Source organism: Homo sapiens, chromosome 8, assembly GCF_000001405.40.
Source record: "Homo sapiens chromosome 8, GRCh38.p14 Primary Assembly".
Taxonomy (NCBI): Eukaryota; Metazoa; Chordata; class Mammalia; order Primates; family Hominidae; genus Homo; species Homo sapiens.
This window is the reverse complement of record NC_000008.11, coordinates 66,225,169-66,246,063: the sequence shown is the minus strand read 5'-3', so window position 1 is coordinate 66,246,063 and position 20,895 is coordinate 66,225,169. Positions and strand designations below refer to the sequence as shown.

Sequence of the window (20,895 nt, the reverse complement as noted above, 5' to 3'; positions counted from 1 at the left end):
AATTTTGTTACCCACGTAATCAGCATACTACCTGATATGTAGTATTTTGATCTTCACCCTTCTCCCTCAAGTAGGCCCCAGGGTCTGTTCTTTCCTTCTTGTGTCCATGTGTACTCAATGTTTAACTGCCACTTATAAGTGAGAACATGCAGTATTTGGTCTTCTGTTCCTGTGTTAATTCACTAAAGATATTGGCCTACAGCTCCATCCATGTTGCTGCAAATGACAGGATCTTGTTCTTTTTTATGGCTGTGTACTATTCCCTGGCATATATGTACCACATTTTCCTTATCCAGTCCACTGTTGATGGACATCAATGTTGATTCCACATCGTTGCTATTGTGAATAATGCTGTAATGAACATATGCATGCACCTTTATAGTGGAATGATTTCTCTTCCTTTGGGTATTTACCCAGTAATGGGGTTGCTGAGTCAAATGGTAGTTCTACTTTAAGTTCTTTTAGAAATCTCCAGACTACTTTCCACAGTGGCTGAACTAATTTACATTCCCACCAGCGGTGTACAAATGTTCCCTTTTCTCCACAATTTCACCAGTGTCTGTTATTTTGACTTTTTAATCATAGCCATTCTGACAGGTGTGAGATAGTATTGCATTGTGGTTTTAATTTTCATTTCCCTAATGATTAGTGAAATTGAGCAATCTCTTGCTCTCTTACATGTGCTTTCTTGCCCTTCCACCATGGGATGATGCAGCAAGAAGGCCCTTGCTAGATGTGGCCCTTGATCTTGGATTTCCCAGCCTCCAGAACCATGAGTCAAATAAATTTCTGTTTATTATAAATTATCCAGTCTTAGGTGTTCTGTTGTAACAGCACAAAACAGACTAAGACAATTATTGTAATTTTGCTATGTATTTTTTGTTTTCCAAGTATTTATGTAAACATTTTAGTGAAAAGTTGGCAAAAGTTGTGATAGAATCTATTAGCCAGATGCTATTAAAACTCTTGGTGAGGAATTTCTTAATAAATCCACAAACATTGCTATTTTGTCTAGAAGTGATTTTATAAAATCATGACAATCTTTAGATTTAATAAATCACAATAGTGTCATATTTATAATGCTACCTATACTTTGGCATTTCACCTTGTGAATATGATAATGTGTGTTTTTTGTTTTTCATCTCCATCTAGATTGCATCATCTTCAAGGAACCAAATTTTTAATTTGTTAAAAATTTTCTAGTGTAATAATAAAATAAAATAAAAATAAATAAATAAGTAAATAAATAACTATCCAAAAAAATTTTTTTCTAGTTTAAAGACGCAAAGCATTATGCTTAAAAAATTGCCTCTTTATTTTTCTCTTTACTCTCTCTTAAAACCAGTCTCTAATGAGCTGATGAAAGGTAATTTTCTTTTCCCTCCCTTCCTTTCTTTTCCTTTCTTTTTTTTAATTATGAGGGCTTAATTAATAGCATGAGAGTTTTATTTAGGTGAACACATCTTGTTAATTATCATTACTTGGGTGCTATATTTTCAGTTTTCATTTTGCTAATATTTATATTGTATTGTCTTCCACTTAAGAATTCATGATGCAGTCATATTAGCTCAAATAAAGTATATGCTCTCATTATTATTTATAGAAAAGGAGGAAATAGAATCTGCCACAGCATGTATTATAAGCATTTTCTTAATTAACATTTAGTAACTATTATATTGAAATTACCGTGTGACAGACACTACTGTTTTGTGACAATTCTTGTATAAAGATTATTATGTATTTCTCAAACTAAGGTAAATTTGTATTCTTGTGGGAATAAAAGGAATAATCACTATGAGATAGAAACTTGGATAGGATTTAAACCTGAATCTCCTGTTTGCCTCCCAATATCACCACTTTCATCACATTTTCTCCTATGGGAGAATCTACAATCAGTGTAGAACTCATTTTTTTTTTTTTTTGAGACGGAGTCTCACTCTGTCACCCAGACTGGAGTACAGTGGCACTAACTCTGCTCACTGCAACCTCCGCCTCTTGGGTTCAAGCAATTCTCCTACCTCAGCCTCCCGAGTAGCTGGGATTACGGGCGCCCGCCACCACGCCTGGCTAATTTTTGTATTTCTGTAGAGGCTTTGTTTCGCTGTGTTGGCCAGGCTGGTCTCGAACTCCTGACCTCAAGTGATCCACCTGCCTTGGCCTCCCAAAGTGCTGGGATTACAGGCGTGAGCCACTGCACCTAGCCAGAACTCAATTTTGAAAGGGCAAAAGCTGGTAAAATTTTGATATTTATTAAAGACAAAGAATATAAAGTGAAAGATACAAAACGAGATACAGAATTGTAAATACCAACAAATCGCAGCAAAATACAGGTTTTAAAAAACGGGTAGAAGTAATAAACATTACAAAATTAAATACCTGACGCTTGCTATAGTATTTTCCCTTACATTTTTGGCTGTAAATTCTTTACTATCTCTTCCTATGACAATTTTGTAATATTTTCTACAGCAAGAATAGAAAGACAATTTAGTTTTTTTTCTCATGGTTGATCAAAATGTACTATTGTTATTACTGATGGTTTAGAAAAGTTTCTTTCAGCTTCACAACTCATTATTGCCAAATCATCTCTCTAGAAGCTATAACAGATGTGCTTTGTGGTACAGCTTTGTGCCCTGCACTGTAAACCCAAGGATTTCTTTGGTTTAAGGAAGTGGGCTATGCATGAGATGCGGGAGCCTTTCAAGGTGTGGGTATGAGCATCAGAGGACGTTGTCTGAATCCAGCACATACAGTTACTGGATGTTCTTTACGCTTGGTTATTTATCTGTGTCAGGTAAGATTGGATTCCCAAGGGCTTCCAAGCCAGTTTTTTAAAAAATTAAATAAACTTTTTATTTTAGAATAGTTGTTTACAGTTTCAAGCCACTTTGTATGTGTTATTTAATCCCCTTAATATTGTAAGAGAAGAATTTTGTCACTTAAAGGTTTATGAGAATCTCTCCTAAAGGGACAGCACATGTAGGCTGTGGTTCCATGCTGCAGGGACATCTGTGTTAACAGCATTTACACAACAAACATTACTGGGGGGCAGTAGCAATGGTTATAAGATTATTATATAAGTAAAAGCAAGCATCTTTAAAAAAAAATTCCCCTTTTTTTTGTCAGTCCACTATACTAGGATCATCTTTTTTTAATGAGTTTAACCAGTTTCCTTGACAACTCATTTTTCTGTCTAGACTTTAAAGTGCCTAATGAAGTCTTCATAGGACAACTAACCCCGTTTGTCTTAGACTGACTGTCTTTGGGCACAGCAGAGCACTGAGGGGATGAGCTGACCTCTTGAAGATGGATTCCATTAATGACCCCTGAGCATGAGAAGGTGCCTTTGCAACTGGCCATGACACAACTATCATTTAATGCAATAACATTCTCTTGACAGATCTACCATAGCTAATGGGAGAAGGAAAATTAGTTTGAAATTAGGAAAATATATTGTTAGAATAAATCATCACCTACAGGGAATGGTAGTTATCTGTTCTCTCTGTTACTTAAAATGATATTAAATACTAACAGAATAAGGAGCGAGAGGGGAGAAAAAATAGAAAAGCTGTCAGAGCCATTTGTTCCAACTTTTAAAATTTTTCTATCATAAAGAAAATTATTGGCCGGGCGCGGTGGCTCATGCCTGTAATGCCAGCACTTTGGGAGGCTGAGGTGGGTGGATCACCTGAGGTCAGGAGTTCAACACCAGCCTGGCCAACATGGAGAAACCCCGTCTCTACTAAAAATACAAAAAAATTAGCTGGGCATGGTGGTGGGTGCCTGTAATCCCAGCTACTTTGGGAGGCTGAGGCAGGAGGCGGAGGTGGCAGTGAGCTGAGATTACACCATTGCACTCCAGCCTGGGTGACAAGAGCAAAACTCCATCTCAAAAAAAGAAAAATTTAAATTAAATTAAAAATAAATAAATAAATAAAAGGGACCTATCAGTGCCTTATTGTAGTTGCATGAACAAACAGAACCAAGCAATCCACTGGTTTATCTGAAAGAATAAGAGGCCTATGGAGCTGAGAAGACAATGATATCATAAAAATTGTATGGCACACCTATTTATATATAGCATAGTGTGAGGGTTAGTTTTATGTATCAGCTTGGCTAGGCCACAGCATCCAGATATTTGTTTAAACACTGGTCTGGATGTTGCCGCAAATATACTTTTTGGAAGAGATTAACATTAAATCAGTGGAATTTTGAGTAAAGCCGATTACCCTCTGCATTAGTCTATTCTCACACTGCTATAAAGAAATACCTGAGACTGGTAATTTATAAAGAAAAAAGATTTAATTGGCTATGGTTCCACAGGCTTTACAAGAAGCATGGCAGCATCTGCTTCTGGGGAGGACTCAGGGAGCTTTTACTTGTGGTGGAAGGCAAAATGGGAACAGGTGTCTTACATGCTAGGAACAGGACCACAAGCACGAGAGGGAGAGGTGCTGCACAGTTTTAACAACCAGATCTCATGAGAACTTACTCACTGTATAGCACTAAGGGTGTATGATAACTCTGCCCCCATGATCCAATCACCTGCCACCAGGCCACACCTCCCACACTGGGGAATTACAATTCGACACGAGACTTGCGGGGGACACAGATCCAAACCATATCACTCTCCATAATGTGGGTGGGCCTCATTCAATTAGTTGAAGACTGACCTCCCCAAAGAAGAGGGGATTTTGCCTTTGTATTCGAGCTGCAACATCAACTCTTCCGTAAGCTCCCTGAGTCTGCAGCCTGCTGGCCTTGCCTGCAGATTTGGAACTTGCCCCCGACAATGCATGTGCCAAGTTCTTAAAATAAATACTTCCGTCTCTCCCTCAGTGAGCAGCCCCATCCTATTGGTTCTGTTTCTCTGGAGAACTTTGATTAATAAGATTGATAAATATTAATAAACATTATTGGTAAAGCTAAATATTGATTGGTGGTGACCCTTCAAATTTATGTAGGGGCATCAAGTTTGAATGGAGCCATGCCTCCTTTTGGCTTATCTTCTTTTTACCTTCATTTTTATCTTCAAGTTTTTAGGGGGTGGACACTTAAGACCTTTGCTCAGTATTTGCCCTTATGGATGATCAATAAAAGTAAAAACAAAAAAGGAAATATTGGGTAATTTGTAACTATTTTTAAAATGTATCTGTATATATTATTTAGTACTTACACCAACCCTTTGGGATAATTAAATGCTTCCCTGTTTTAGAAATGAAAGGGTAACAATAACAAAAACACAGATAATTTATTGAGCTCATTCTGGGCTAAGCATGTCACAAAGTTTGTCATAGTCTCTTTTGTGCTGCTTTAACAGGATACCACAGATTAGGTAATTTATATAGAATAGAAATTTATTTTCTCACAGTCTGGAGGCTGGGAAATCCAAGATGAAGGCACTGAAAGTTAAGGCTTGGTCTCTTTGCTTTCAAGATGGCACCTTGAGCACTTTTTCCTCAGGAGTGGAGGCACGTTGTGTCTTCACAAGGCAGAAGAGCAGGAGAGAGTGAACTCATTCCCACAGCCCTTTCTATAATGGCATTCACCCATGCATAAGGATGGGGCCCTCATGACCTAAACATCTCCCATTAAGCTCCACTGCCCAATACTGTTGCACTGGAGATTAAGCTTCCAACTCATTAATTCTAAGGGGACAGAAACAGAAGCATTCAAACCATTGCAGAGATTATCTCATGTAAGCCTCACAGCAACCCATGGCACAGCAATCCCAGTTTAAGATGAGCATACTGAAAAATGCATAAAATAAAGGGCTGGGCTAGAACTTGAACTTAGATCAATTGATTCCAAAGAAGTCTGTGCTTTTTTCTCCCATGGGGAGGTGTCTTTCATTTTTTCACCCCAGGTAGACAAGACAAAACACATCTCTGAGCCTTTTTGTGGCACAGATCTCAGTGCAAGTGTCATATTTCTGGAACTCGACTAAAAGTCATGTGCTCAATTAGGACAGAGATCAAATGACTCGGCTGCAAAACCAGTGCCCTGCCTCTCCTGAGTTAAAAAGTCTCATTTATGGTTATTAATATTGAAAGGGATAAAATGTATCTTTATATCTGCCATCAATTTTTCCCTGCCTTCATGGTAGAACCACAGGAGAACTCTGGGGAAAATTCAAGGCAACTATGAAGGAGAGAAGGCAGAGCATTAGAGAACTTAGGAGCTGTAGGACTCTTAGAGAGCTTCTTCTCCTTCTCCTTCACTTGACAGATGAAGAAACTGGAGGCAGGGAATTAGATCACCTGCTGAAAGTATGTTAGACTGGAGCATCTAAAATTTAATGAGCAAATAAAATCAATTTAATTTTGTTCAAGTGCAGATTCTGATTATATAGGACTGAGATGGGTCCCAGAAGTCTGCATTTCTATGAAGCTCTCCAGATGAAGCTACTGCTGTTGGTCCAGTGGCTGCACAGAGTGGGGAGAGAGAGTGAAGCATTATGACAGGTAGGATAGTAGAAGGGGAGGGAGAGAACCAGGTGCTATGGTTTGAATGTATCCCCCAAGTTCATGTGTTGGAAACTTAATCCTCAATGCAACACTGTTGAGAGGTGGGACTTTTAAAAGGTGATTAGGGCACAAAGGCTCTGCTCTCATGAATGGATTAAAGCCATTATCGTGACAGTGGGTTTGTTATGAAAGTGAGTTTGGCCCTCCTTTTCACTCTCTCACCATGTGATGCCTTCTACCATATTATGAGGCAGCAAGAAGGCCCTCAACAGATGCAGTCCCTCGATCTTGGACTTCCCAGCCTTCAGAACTGTAAGCCAAATAAATTTCTATTTATTACAAATTAGTCTGTGGTATTATGTTATAGCAGCATAAAATGGACTAAGGCAGAAAATTGGTAGTGTGAAGTGTGGCTGTTGCTATAACAGATACCTGAAAATATAGAAGTGGCTTTGGAACTGGGGAATGAGTAGAGGCTAGAAGAATTACGAGGATCAAGCAATAATAGAAAAAAGGTGTATTGCTGTAAAAAAGCACTAAGGGTGATTCTGGTGAAGGTTTAGAAGAGAAGAGCTACAGGAAAAGTTTGAAACTTCTTTGAAATTTCTTAAGCGGTTAAGATCAGAAGATTGGTAGAAATATAGGATGTAGAGGCCATTCTGATGTGGTCTTAGGTGGAAATGAGGGACAAGATATTAAAAACTGGAGTAAAGGCTGGGCATACTGGCTCACACCTGTAATCCTAGTGATGGCAATGGCAGCTAGTCTGGAGCAGCTGCTGCCATTTTGCCAGCTGCAGTGGAGAGGCATGGCCAGGGCTGCACATTCCACAGAGCTGGCAGAAGCCAGGGACAAGTGGGATCCCCATCCTTTTCAAGTTGGTGGGATGGGAGCTCCCTTGGTTCAGCCACAGCTGCCCAAGTTGTCACCATGGACCTGGGCTTCCGCTGCATGGAGCAGGTAAGAGCCCCAATCCCTGGGTGCAGCTGCCCAAACTGTGGCTGTGGACCCAGGCATCCCTGCACTCTTGGGAGCCCAGGAAGGCACCTCCTGCCCCTGCAGGCTTGGAAGTGCCTACTCCTGCTGCATGGCTTCTCCCTGCTGTTGGTGCCCATTCTGATCTTAGAGCAAAGTCAGGGCCAGACCCAGATGCTGTCACAGCCTGGCCAGGTATGCACACACTTGTGGCAGTGCTGACACACCAAGCCCCTGCCACCTTGACCCCCTCTGTACTTTGGGCACTGACAAGCATAGGAGGGAAGCCAATGGGGGCACTGAGGGCAGCTTGGCACTTCAGGCCAGGGAGCGCCTGAAGGCTGGGGGCCAGGCTGCCAGTCCCACTGACTGGAGTGAGAACTTGTGGTGCCTTTTCTGGGCCTGCTCATGGACCAATCAGCATGCACTTCCTACCCTCTGAGGCCCATAATTGCCCCGGGCTCAGCCAGAGCTGAGCAGATGTCCAGATGACCAGTAGCAGAGGGGAGCTACCCACTCTAGGGTCTTGTCTCTGCTGAGAGCTGCAGACATTGGGAAGACTGGCTGCAGAGAGTAGCTACCTACTGCAGACGTCAGGATGACCAGCTGCAGAAAGGAGCTACCCACTCCAGGGCCTCCTCTGTGCTGAGAGCTGCAGAGATGACAGAATGATCTACCTGAGGAGAGGAGCTATCCACCCCAGTGCCTCCTTGGAACTATTCTGTCACTTGGTAAAGCTCCTCTTGACTTTGCTCACTCTCTACTTGTCTTTGTACCTTGTTCTTCCTGGACACAGGACACAAACTTGGGACCTGCCAAGTGGCAGGGCTGAAAGAGCTATAACAGAAACAGGGCGGAAACATGCCACTTGCTCACCATGTTGCAGTTGAAGAGAAGGAGAGAACTGTAGCCTTTTAGGGAGCCCAGACCTGGGAGCTCCTTGAGCCAGGGCTGTGACTCAGTCTTTGGGGCCCTGTGGTTCCTGGAGTCTCCAAGCTTCCGGGTGCCACTGTGTTCCCTGGTGACAGCCACGGAAGCTGCTTGTAGCATGCCTGGTCTGGCCATAGCCTCACAGAGAGCCTGTGCCTGTGCCAGCACCTGGTGCACCTGCCCCACTGCAGCAGCCGGCGTACCTGACTGTGCACCGTGGCCAGACCCCCACACTCGCTTGCTCACACACCCCTTGCTACTCCGCACCTGGCTTGAGTTTGACAGGCGTGGGATCCAGGCTGGTAGCACGAGCCAAGCTCGGCCTGCCAGGTCAGGTGGGCAGAATGAGTCCAGTGGGCCTAAGCAAAACTCAGGCAAAGGCGCCACCGGCCACAGGGATTTCTCACCAGAAAAACCACCCCCGAAGGATCCTATAATGGCAGCAATTTGCAAGGCCAGGGCTGGCAGATTGCCTGAGCTCAGAAGTTCAAGACCAGCCTGGGCAACATGGTGAAACCCTGTCTCTACTAAAAATACAAAAAAATTAGCTGGGTATGGTGGCCCACACCTGTAGCCTTAGTTGCTCAAGATGTTGAGGCACAAGAATCACTTGAATCTGGGAGCAGAGGCTACAGTGAGCTGAGATTGTGCCACTTCACTCCAGCCTGGGTGACAGAGCAAGACTGTCTCAAAACAAAACAAAAAAACCAACTGGAGTAAAGGCCATTTTTGCTATACAGTTGCAAAGAATTTGTGCAATTGTGTCAATGCCCTAGAGTTTTATGGAAAACAGAATTTAAGAGTGGTGAACTAGTATATCTGGCAGAAGAAATATCTAAGCAGCAAAGTGTTCAAGGCACTGCAAGGCTTCTTTTGGCTGCTTACAGTGAAAAGAGAGAAGAGAGAAATTATTATTATTATTATTATTATACTTTAAGTTCTGGGGTACATGTGCAGTTTTGTTACATAGGTATACCTGTGCCATGGTGGTTTGCTGCACCCATCAACCCATCACCTACATTAGGCATTTCTCCTAATGCTATCCCTGTTCTAGCCCTCCACCTCCCAACAGGCCTCAGTGTGTGATGTTCCCCTCCCTGTGTCCATATGTTATCATTATTAAGCTCCAACTTATGAGTGAGAACATGTGGTGTTTGGTTTTCTGTTCTTGTGATAGTTTGCTGAGAATGATGGTTTCCAGCTTCATCCATGTCCCTGCAAAGGACATGAACTCATCCTTTTTTATGGCTGCATAGTATCCCATTGTGTGTATTTGCCACATTTTCTTTATCTGATCTATCATTGATGGACATTTGGGTTGGTTCCAAGTTTTTGCTATTGTGAATAGTGCCACAATAAATATACATGTGCATGTATCTTTATAGTAGAATGATTTATAATCGTTTGGATAAATACCCAGTAATGGGATGGCTGGGTCAAATGGTATTTCTAGTTCTAGATCCTTGAGGAATTGCCACATTGTCTTCCACAATGGTTGTACTAACTTACACACCCACCAACAGTGTAAAAGCGTTCCTATTTCTCCACATCCTCTCCAGCATCTGTTGTTTCCTAACTTTTTAATGATCGCTATTCTAACTGGCATGAGATGGTATCTCATTGTGGTTTTGATTTGCATTTCTCTAATGACCAGTGATGATGAGCATTTTTTCTTATGTTTGCTGGCTGTATAAATGTCTTCTTTTGAGAAATGTCTGTTCATATCCTTTGCCCACTTTTTGATGGGGTTGTTTGCTTTTTTCTCGTAAATTTAAGTTCTTTGTAGATTCTGGATATGAGCCCTTTGTCACATGGAGATTGCAAAAATTTTCTCTCATTCTATAGGTTGTCTGTTCACTCTGATGCTAGTTTCTTTTGCTGTGCAGAAGCTCTTTAGTTTAATTAGATCCCATTTGTCAATTTTGGCTTTTGTTGCCATTGCTTTTGGTGTTTTAGTCATGAAGTCTTTGCCCATGCCTATGTCATGAATGGTATTGCCTAGGTTTTCTTCTAGGATTTTATGGCTTTGGGTCTTATGTTTTGGTCTTTAATCCATCTTAAGTTGATTTTTGTATAAGGTGTAAGGAAGGGGTCCAGTTTCAGTTTTCTGTGTATGGCTAGCCAGTTTTCCCAACATCATGTATTAAATAGGGAATCCTTTCCCCATTGCTTGTTTGTGTCAGGTTTGTCAAAGATCAGATGGTTGTAGATGTGTGGTGTTATTTCTGAGGCCTCTGTTCTGTTCCATTGGTCTATATATCTGTTTTGGTACAAGTACCATGCTGTTTTTTTTTTTTACTGTAGCCTTGTAGTATAGTTTGAAGTCAGGTAGCATGATGCCTCCAGCTTTGTTGTTTTTGCTTAGGGTTGTCTTGGCTATGCAGGCTCTTTTTTGGTTCCACATGAAATGTAAAGTAGTTTTTTCTAATTCTATGAAGAAAGTCAATGGTAGCTTGATGGGGATAACATTGAATCCATAAATTACTTTGGGCAGTATGGCCATTTTCATATTGATTCTTCCTATTCATGAGCATGGAATGTTTTTCCATTTGTTTGTGTCCTGTCTTATTTCCTTGAGCAGTGGTTTGTAGTTCTCCTTGAAAAGGTCCTTCACATCCCTTGTAAGTTGTATTCCTATGTATTTTATTCTCTTAGTAGCCATTATGAATGGGAGTTTACACATGATTTGGCTCTCTGTTTGTCTGTTATTGGTGTATAGGAATGCTTGTGATTTTTGCACATTGATTTTGTATCCTGAGACTTTGCTGAAGTTGTTTATCAGCTTAAGGAGATTTCAGGCTGAGACGATGGGGTTTTCTAAATATGCAATCATGTAATCTGCAAACAAAGACAATTTGACTTCCTCTCTTCCTATTTGAATACCTTTTATTTCTTTCTCTTGCCTGATTGCCCTGACCAGAACTTCCAATACTATGTTGAATAGGAGTGGTGAGAGAGGGCATCCTTGTCTTGTGCTGGTTTTCAAAGTTAATGCTTCCAGTTTTTTCCCATTCAGTATGATATTGGCTGTGGGTTTGTCATAAATAGCTCTTATTACCTTGAGATGCATTCCATTGATACCTAGTTTATTGAGAGTTTTTAGCATGAAGGGGTGTTGAATTTTGTTGAAGGCCTTTTCTGCATCTATTGAGATAATCATGTGGTTTTTGTCATTGGTTCGGTTTATGTGATGGATTACGTTTATTGATTTGTGTATGTTGAACCAGCCTCACATCCCAGGGATGAAGCTGACTTGATAGTGGTGGATAAGCTTTTTGATGTGCTGCTCGATTCGGTTTGCCACTATTTTATTGAGGATTTTTGCATCTGTGTTCATCAGGGATATTGGCCTGACATTTTCTTTTTTTGTTGTGTCTCTGCCAGGTTTTGGTATCAGGATGATGCTGGCCTCATAAAATGAGTTAGGGAGGAGTCCCTCTTTTTCTGTTGTTTGGAATAGTTTCAGAAGGAATGGTACCAGCTCCTCTTTTTACCTCTGGTAGAATTCGGCTGTGAATCCATCTGGTCCTGGACATTTTTTGGTTGGTAGGCTATTAATTACTGCCTCAATTTCAGAACTTTCTATTGGTCTCTTTAGGAATTTGACTTCTTCCTGGTTTAGTCTTGGGAGAGTGTATGTGTCCAGGATTTTATCCATTTCTTCTAGATTTTCTAGTTTATTTGCATAGAGGTGTTTACAGTATTCTCTGATGGTAGTTTGTATTTCTATGGGATTGGTGATGATATTCCCTTTATCATTTTTTATTGCATCTATTTGATTATTCTCTCTTTTCTTCTTTTTTAGTCTGGCTAGATGTCTATCTATTTTGTTGATCTTTTCAAAAAACCAGCTCCTGGATTCTTTGATTTTTTTTGAAGGCTTTTTTGTGTTTCTATCTCCTTCAGTTTTGCTCTTAGTCATTTCTTGTGTTCTGCTAGCTTTTGAATTTGTTTGCTGTTGCTTCTGTAGTTCTTTTAATTTTGGTGATATATTTTATTAAGCACTTGTTTTGTATTTCATCTATAAGGGCATACAGAAAAGAAAAAAGTATCGGCTACCAGAGAGTGATTTTACCAGTAAATGATCATGTCAAGTTTTAGAAAATGTTTTCATCACTTTACTGACTTCTACTCTATTACAATCTTTCATTAACACCCTATTTCACTGCACTGAATTTAAAAATGTCTGCAAAAGTGATAAATGGGTTTTAGTATAATTTTTGGAGAGTTCTTTCTTTCTTTCTTTATTTATTTATTTTTATTGATCATTCTTGGGTGTTTCTTGCAGAGGGGGATTTGGCAGGGTCATAGGACAATAGTGGAGGGAAGGTCAGCAGATAAACAAGTGAACAAAGGTCTCTGGTTTTCCTAGGCAGAGGATCCTGTGGCCTTCCGCAGTGTTTGTGTCCCTGGGTACTTGAGATTAGGGAGTGGTGATGACTCTTAACCAGCATGCTGCCTTCAAGCATCTGTTTAACAAAGCACATCTTGCACCGCCCTTAATCCATTTAACCCTGAGTGGACACAGCACATGTTTCAGAGAGCACAGGGTTGGGTGTAAGGTCACAGATCAACAGGATCCCAAGGCAGAAGAATTTTTCTTAGTACAGAACAAAATGAAAAGTCTCCCATGTCTACTTCTTTCTACACAGACACGGCAACCATCCGATTTCTCAATCTTTTCCCCACCTTTCCCCCCTTTCTATTCCACAAAACTGCCATTGTCATCATGGCCTGTTCTCAATGAGCTGTTGGGTACACCTCCCAGACGGGGTGGTGGCCAGGCAGAGGGGCTCCTCACTTCCCAGTAGGGGCGGCCGGGCAGAGGCGCCCCTCACCTCCAGGGTGGGGCGGCTGGCCGGGCGGGGGGCTGATCCCCCCACCTCCCTCCCGGACGGGGCGGCTGGCCGGGCAGGGGGCTGATCCCCCCACCTCCCTCCCAGATGGGGCGGCTGGCTGGGCGGGGGGCTGACCCCCCACCTCCCTCCCGGACGGGGTGGCTGGCCGGGTGGGGGGCTGACCACCTCACCTCCCTCCCAGATGGGGCGGCTGGCCGGGCAGAGGGGCTCCTCACTTCCCAGTAGGGGCGGCCGGGCAGAGGCGCCCCTCACCTCCCGGACGGGGCGGCTGGCCGGGCGGGGGGCTGACCCCCCCACCTCCCTTCCGGACGGGGCGGCTGGGCTGGCGGGGGCTGACCCCCACCTCCCTCCCGGACGGAGTGGCTGCCGGGCGGAGACGCTCCTCACTTCCCAGACGGGGTGGCTGCCGGGCGGAGGGGCTCCTCACTTCTCAGACGGGGCGGCTGCCGGGCGGAGGGGCTCCTCACTTCTCAGATGGGGCAGTTGCCAGGCGGAGGGTCTCCTCACTTCTCAGACGGGGTCGCGGCCGGGTAGAGGCGCTCCTCACATCCCAGATGGGGCAGCGGGGCAGAGGCGCTCCCCACATCTCAGACGATGGGCGGTCGGGCAGAGACGCTCCTCACTTCCTAGATGGGATGGCGGCCGGGCAGAGACGCTCCTCACTTTCCAGACTGGGCAGCCAGGCAGAGGGGCTCCTCACGTCCCAGACGATGGGTGGCCAGGCAGAGACGCTCCTCACTTCCCAGATGGGGTGGTGGCCGGGCAGAGGCTGCAATCTCGGCACTTTGGGAGGCCAAGGCAGGCAGCTGGGAGGTGGAGGTTGTAGCGAGCCGAGATCACGCCACTGCACTCCAGCCTGGGCACCATTGAGCACTGAGTGAACCAGACTCCGTCTGCAATCCCGGCACCTCGGGAGGCCGAGGCTGGCGGATCACTCGCGGTTAGGAGCTGGAGACCAGCCCGGCCAACACAGCCAAACCCCGTCTCCACCAAAAAAATACAAAAACCAGTCAGGCGTGGTGGCACGCGCCTGCAATCGCAGGCACTCGGCAGGCTGAGGCAGGAGAATCAGGCAGGGAGGTTGCAGTGAGCCGAGGTGGCAGCAGTACAGTCCAGCTTCGGCTCGGCATCAGAGGGAGATGGTGGAAAGAGAGGGAGAGGGAGACCGTGGGGAGAGGCAGAGGGAGACGGAGAGGGAGAGGGAGAGGGAGAGGGAGAGGGAGAGGGAGAGGAGTTCTTTTAATTTTGATGTTAGGGGGTCAATTTGAGATCTTTCCTGCTTTCTCTTGTGGGCATTTGGTTCTATAAATTTCTCTCTAGAACACACTGCCTCAAATGTGTCCCAGAGATTCTGGTACATTGTGTCTTCATTCTCATTGGTTTCAAAGAACATCTTTATTTCTGCCTTCATTATGTTATTTACCCAGTAGTCATTCAGGAGCAGGTTGTTCAGTTTCCATGTAGTTGTGCGGCTTTGAGTGAGTTTCTTAATCCTGAGTTCTAATTTGATTGCTCTGTGGACTGCGAGACTGTTATGATTTCCATTCTTTTGCATTTGCTGAGGAGTGTTTTACTTCCAATTTATGGTCAATTTTAGAATTAGTGTGATGAGATGCTGAGAATGTATATTTTGTTGATTTGGGGTGAAGAGTTCTGTAGATGTCTTTTAGGTCCACTTTGTCCAGAGCTGAGTTCAAGTCTTGAATATCCTTGTTAATTTTCTGTCTTGTTGATCTGTCTAATATTGACAGGTTGTTAAAAGTCTCCCACTATTATTGTGTGGGAGTCTAAATCTCTTTGTAGGTCCCTAAGAACTTGCTTTATGAATCTGGGTGCTCCTGTGTTGGGTGCACATATATTTAGGAAAGTTAATGCTTCTTGTTGCATTGATCCCTTTACCATTATGTAATGCCCTTCTTTGTCTCTTTTGATCTTTATTGGTTTAAAATCTGTTTTATCAGAGATTAAGATTGCAACTCCTGCTTTTTTTTTTTTTTTTTGCTTTCCATTTGCTTGGTAAATTTTCCTCCATCCCTTTATTTTGAGCCTATGTGTGTCTTTGCACATGAGGTGGGTCTCCTGAATACAGCACGCTGATGGGTCTTGACTCTATCCTTATCAGTCTGTGTCTTTTAATTGGGGCATTTAGCCCATTTACATTTAAGGTTAATATTGTTATGTGTGAATTTGATCATGTCATTATGATGCTAGCTGGTTATTTTGCACATTAGTTGATGCAGTTTCTTCATAGGATTGATGGTCTTTACAATTTGGTATGTTTTTGCAGTGGCTAGTACTGGTTGTTCCTTTCCATGTTTAGTGCTTCCTTCAGGAGCTCTTGTAAGGCAGGCCTGGTGGTGACAAAATCTCTCAGCATTTGTTTGTCTATAAAATATTTTATCTCTCCTTTGCTTTTGAAGCTTAGTTTTGCTATGAAATTCTGGGTTGAAAATTATTTTCTTCAAGAATGTTGAATATTGCCCCTACTCTCTTCTGGCTTGTAGGGTTTCTGCCAAGGGATCTGGTGTTAGTCTGATGGGCTTCCTTTTGTGGGTAACCCGACTTTTCTTTCTGGCTACCCTTAACATTTTTTCCTTCATTTCAACCTTGGTGAATCTGACGATTATGTGTCTTAGGGTTGCTCTTCTTGAGAAGTATCTTTGTGGTGTTCTCTGTATTTCCTGAATTTGAATGTTGGCCTGTCTTGCTAGGTTGAGGAAGTTCTCCTGGATAATATCCTGAAGAGCGTTTTCCAACTTGGTTCCATTCTTCCCATCACTTTCAGGTACACCAATCGAATGTAGGTTTGGTCTTTTCACATAGTCCCATATTTCTTGGACGCTTTGTTCATTCCTTTTTATTCTTTTTTCTCTAATCTTGTCTTCTTGCTTTATTTCATTAAGTTGATCTTCAATCTCTTATATCCTTTCTTCTGCTTGATGGATTTGGCTATTAATACTTGTGTGTGCTTCACAAAGTTCTCATGCTGTGTTTTTCCGCTCCATCAGGTCATTTATATTCTTCTCTAAACTGGTTATTCTAGTTAGCGATTCATCTAACCTTTTTTCAAGGTTCTTAGTTTTCTTGCATTGGGTTAGAACATGCTTCTTTAGCTCGGAGGAGTTCGTTATTACCCACCTTCTGAAGCCTACTTCTGTCAATTTGTCAAACTCATTCTCCATCCAGTTTTGTTCCCTTGCTGGTGAGGAGTTGTGATCCTTTGGAGGAGAAGAGGCGTTCTGGTTTTTGGAATTTTCAGCCTTTTTGCACTGGTTTCTTCCCATCTTTGTGGATTTATCTAACTTTGGTCTTTGATGTTGGTGACCTTCGGATGGGGTCTTTAAGTGGACATGCTTTTCCTTTCTGTTTGTTAGTTTTCCTTCTAATAGTCAGGCCCCTCTGCTGAAGGCCTGCTGGAGTCTGCTGGAGGTCCACTCCAGACCCTGTCTGCCTGGGTATCACCAGTCGGGGCTGCAGAACAGCAAAGATTGCTGCCTGTTCTTTCCTCTGGAAGCTTCGTCCCAGAGGGGCACCTGCCAGATGCCGGCCAGAGCTCTCCTGTATGAGGTGTCTGTCAGCCCCTACTGGGAGGTGTCTCCCAGTCAGGAAACATGGGGGTCAGGGACTCACTGGAGGAGGCATTCTGGCCCTTAGCAGAGCTCAGATGGTGTGCTGGGAGGTCCGCTGCTCTCTTCAGAGCCATCAGGCAGGGAGATTTAAGTCTGCTGAAGCTGCGCTCACAGCCATCCCTTCCCCCCGGGTGCTCTGTCCCAGGGAGCTGGGGTTTTATCTGTAAGTCCCTGACTGGGGCTGTTGCCTTTTTTTTCAGAGATGCCCTGCCCAGAGAGGAGAAATCTGGCAGTCTGGCTGCAAGGGCCTTGCTGAGCTGCAGTGGGCTCCACCCAGTTTGAACTTCCCAGAGGCTTTGTTTACACTGTGAAGGTAAAACCACCTCCTCAAGCCTCAGCAGTGGCGGACACCCCTCCCCCCACCAAACTCCAGCATTCCAGGTTGATCTCAGACTGCTGCTGTGCTGGCAGTGAGAATTTCAAGCCAGTAGATCTTAGTTTGCTGGGCTCCATGGGGGTGGGACCCCCCAAGCCAGACCACTTGGCTCCCTGGCTTCAGCACCCCTTTCCAGGGGAGTGAACGTTTCTGTCTCACTGGCATTCCACATGCCACTGGGGTATGGAAAAAAAAAATATAATTCCTGCAGCTAGCTCGGTGACTGCCCAAACGGCCACCCAGGTTTGTGCTTGAAACCCAGGGCCCTGGTGGGGTAGGCACCGGAGGGGATCTCCTGGTCTGCAGGTTGCAAAGACCATGGGAAAAGCGCAGTATCTGGGCTGGAGTGCATGGTTCCTCAGGTTCAGTCCTTCATGGCTTCCCTTGGATAGGGGAGAAGATATTCCCCGACCCCTCGTGCTTCCCGGGTGAGGTGATGCCCCACTCCACTTTGGCTTGCCCTCCGTGGGCTGCACCCACTGTCCAACCAGTTCCAATTAGAAGAATTGGGTACCTCAGTTGGAAATGCAGAAACCACTCACCTTCTGTGTTGATCTCGCTGGGAGCTGCAGACTGGAGCTGTTCCTATTTGGCCATCTTGAGATAAATTATTTTAAATATGAGATTTATAATTAAAAGGGAAGCAGAATGAAAAGGTTTGGAAAATGCTCAGCCTGGCCATGTAAGAGAATTAAAAAAGCATGTTGGGAAGAAGAATACTAAAGGTGTGGCCAAGTGACCATTTTCTAAGAGATTAATGTGGATAGAAGGAAGCCAGATTCTATTCATCAAGACAATGGGAGAATGACCTCAAAGTCATTTCAGAGATCTTCAGGGCAAGCTAGGACTTTGAGGGCAAGGTTTCCAGAGCAGTGCCTGCAGGACCTCACCATTTGCTACCCTGCACTGCCTTGAGACTTTGCTCCTTACATTCTGGTGCAGTGCTCCTCAAGTTCCCCAACCATGGCTCCAGAAGTCCCAAGTGTGGCCCATGCCATAGCTTTGAAGGGTGCAAGCAGTAAGCTTTGGCAGCATTCATGTAGTGCTGAATCTGCAGACACTCAGATTCAACCCCATGTAAGGGCAGTGGGTCCATGGAAACCTCCACTTAGATTTCAAAAGATATTGTGGACAGCCTAGGGACTCAGGCAGAGACTTATCATAGGGGCAGAGCCACCATGGAGAGTCCCTATGAGGGCAATGCTTACCAGAGCTGTGGGAGTGTGGCAGCTTCAAAAACCCTAGAATTGTAAGGTCACCAGCATGCAACTCCAGCCTGGAAAAGCTGCAGGGACAAGACTTCAATCTATTAGAGCTGCTGGGTGAACTGAGCCCAGCAAAGCCAAGTTGTTATGAGCATAAATTGCTTATTCCTTTTAATTGCTGAGTAGTACTCCATGATATTGTTATATCACATTTTTTAAACCATTCACCTGTTGAAGGACATCAGGGCTGTTTCTCATTTTGGGCTATGGCATAATAATAAACTGTATTTGGTCTTTGACCTTGATTCCTGGCACAGAGTTCCATAAGGGTGGAGCTGCCTGAGGCCTTGGGGGACCAACTCCCACCCCAGCATGTCCAGAATGGGGAAGATGGAGACAAAGAGGTTATTCTCCAGCTTTAAGACTCAATGTTGTTTTTGCTGTTGGGTTTTGGACTTATTTGGAACTAGTTGCCCCTCTCTTTTTTCCTAGTTCTCCCTCTTGCAATGGGAATGTCTATCCTAGGCCTGTCCCACTATTATATTTTGGAAGCGTGTAACTTGTTAATTTCACAGACTGTCAGCTAAAGAGAAATTTGCCTTGGAATTAATCATGCCTTGAGTCTCATCCATATCTGATTCAGATGAGACACTGGACTTTGGACTTATGATGTTGGAACAAGTTAAGATTTTGGGGTTATGAAGATGGAATGAGTATATTTTGCATGTGAGAAGCACATAAGGGGGAGGGGGTAGAATGCTGTGGTTTGAATGTGTCTCCTGCATAATTTAGGTATTGAAACTTAATGGCTAATTGTGATAGTATTAAGAGGTAGGACCTTTAAGGGGTGATTAGGTCATGAGGGCTCTGTCCTCACGAATAGATTAATGTTGTTGTGGGAGTGGGTTTGTTATAAAATTAAGGTTGGCCTTCTTTTGTGCTCTCTTGCCATTTGATGCCTTTTGCCATGCTACGACATAATGAGAAGGCCCTTACCAGATGTCATGCCTTGATCTCGGACTTCCTAGCCTCCAGAACTGCAAGCCAAATAAATTTCTGTTCATTATAAATTACCTAGTCTGTGGTATTCTAATCTAATAGCATAAAATAGACTAAGATACTACATTTTGTTTGAGATGGAGTTTCACTGCATTGCCCAGGCTGAAGTGCAGTGGGCGTGATCTTGGCTCACTGCAACCTCCGCCTCCCAGGCTCAAGTGATTCTCGTGCCTCAGCCTCCCAAGTAGTTGGGATTACTGGCACATGCCACCATGCCCAGCTAATTTTTGTATTTTTAGTAGAGACGGGGTTTTGCTATGTTGGCCAGGCTGGTCTTGAACTCCTGACCTCAAGGGATCCACCCGCCTCAGCCTCCCAAAGTGCTGTGATTACACGCATGAGTCACTGTATCAGGCCTAAAAAATATCACATTTTAGTAGGCGCTGCAATATGTGGTAGTGGGACAGGCTCTCTCAAAAAATACTAATTTATTGATGATGATGTGATTTGGTAGCATCTGAAATCAGGTCATCTTCAATTGAAATTGAAAATGGCATTGAAATCATGTTAACAGGACTAACAATTTTGGTCAGGCGCAGTGGCTCACACTTGTAATCCCAGCACTTTGGGAGGCTGAGGCGGGTGGATCACCTGAGGTCGAGAGTTCGAGACCAGCCTGACCAACATGGAGAAACCCCATCTCTACTAAAAATACAAAATTTGCCGGGCATGGTGGCACATGCCTGTAACCCCAGCTATCGGGAGGCTGAGGTAGGAGAATCGCTTGAACCCAGGAGGCGGGGATTGCGGTGAGCCAAGATTGTGCCATTACACTCCAGCCTGGGCAACAACAGCAAAACTCTGTCTCAAAAACAACAACAACAACAACAACAACAAACAAATAAAAAACCCCAAAACTATCAATTTTAACAGTCTGGAACAATATTTTTGGAACATTTTTAAGTTAAGCAGAATGAATATGATTCAAAAAACTCATTGTACCTGTACAGAATGAGGAAGATACAATTTAATAGCTGCCTGTGTGAAAAAGGATTTAGTGGCATTAATTGCTTATATGTTTTTGGAGTCAATAGCATGATGTCATTGCATCAACAGAAGTACAGTGTGTGGGGAAAGAGAGGTGATAGCTTGTTTCCACATCGCACAAGTCATAATATGCCTGGAGGATGTGCTCAGTTCAAGATGTGTCACATTAAAAGGGATATTAGAAACCTGAAATGCATCTGGGTGAGACTGTCTGAGGATATCTGGGAATGAGGCATTTGAGAAACAGTTGAAATTGGGCATTTAACCTGGAAACTAAAATGACATACAGTATAATGCAAGGACTGACCCAGACACTGGAAGGAACATCATGTGTATGATAAGAGTAGGCTTGTACTGTGAGATTTCTGAGTGTGAACTAGAATCAGTAGAAGTGAAAATTAGAGACAGATT

General features: G+C 43.7%; 1 long non-coding RNA gene across 7 annotated transcripts in view, besides 2 other annotated features; it reads left to right on the top strand.

Moving 5' to 3' along the window:
* Nucleotides 1–20,895, top strand: part of LOC102724687 (uncharacterized) — a 233,269-nt gene that overhangs the window by 186,303 nt on the left and 26,071 nt on the right. For 2 of the 7 annotated variants that reach the window (XR_929014.3, XR_007060950.1), the window contains exon 1: nt 17,058–17,170. The exons of the other annotated variants lie outside the window; for them this stretch is intronic. This is a non-coding gene — a long non-coding RNA (uncharacterized LOC102724687). Of the gene's footprint in view, nt 1–17,057; nt 17,171–20,895 lie in introns of those variants that run through there. 7 annotated transcript variants of the gene reach the window in all.
* Nucleotides 16,349–17,172: an enhancer, noted in NCBI's record as "H3K27ac-H3K4me1 hESC enhancer chr8:67141127-67141950 (GRCh37/hg19 assembly coordinates)". NCBI's record gives its function as "activates a minimal SCP1, AML or CMV promoter by ChIP-STARR-seq in primed H9 embryonic stem cells {active_cell/tissue: H9 hESC(primed)}" and the evidence as "EXISTENCE:reporter gene assay evidence [ECO:0000049][PMID:30033119]".
* Nucleotides 17,173–17,998: an enhancer, noted in NCBI's record as "H3K27ac-H3K4me1 hESC enhancer chr8:67140301-67141126 (GRCh37/hg19 assembly coordinates)". NCBI's record gives its function as "activates a minimal SCP1, AML or CMV promoter by ChIP-STARR-seq in primed H9 embryonic stem cells {active_cell/tissue: H9 hESC(primed)}" and the evidence as "EXISTENCE:reporter gene assay evidence [ECO:0000049][PMID:30033119]".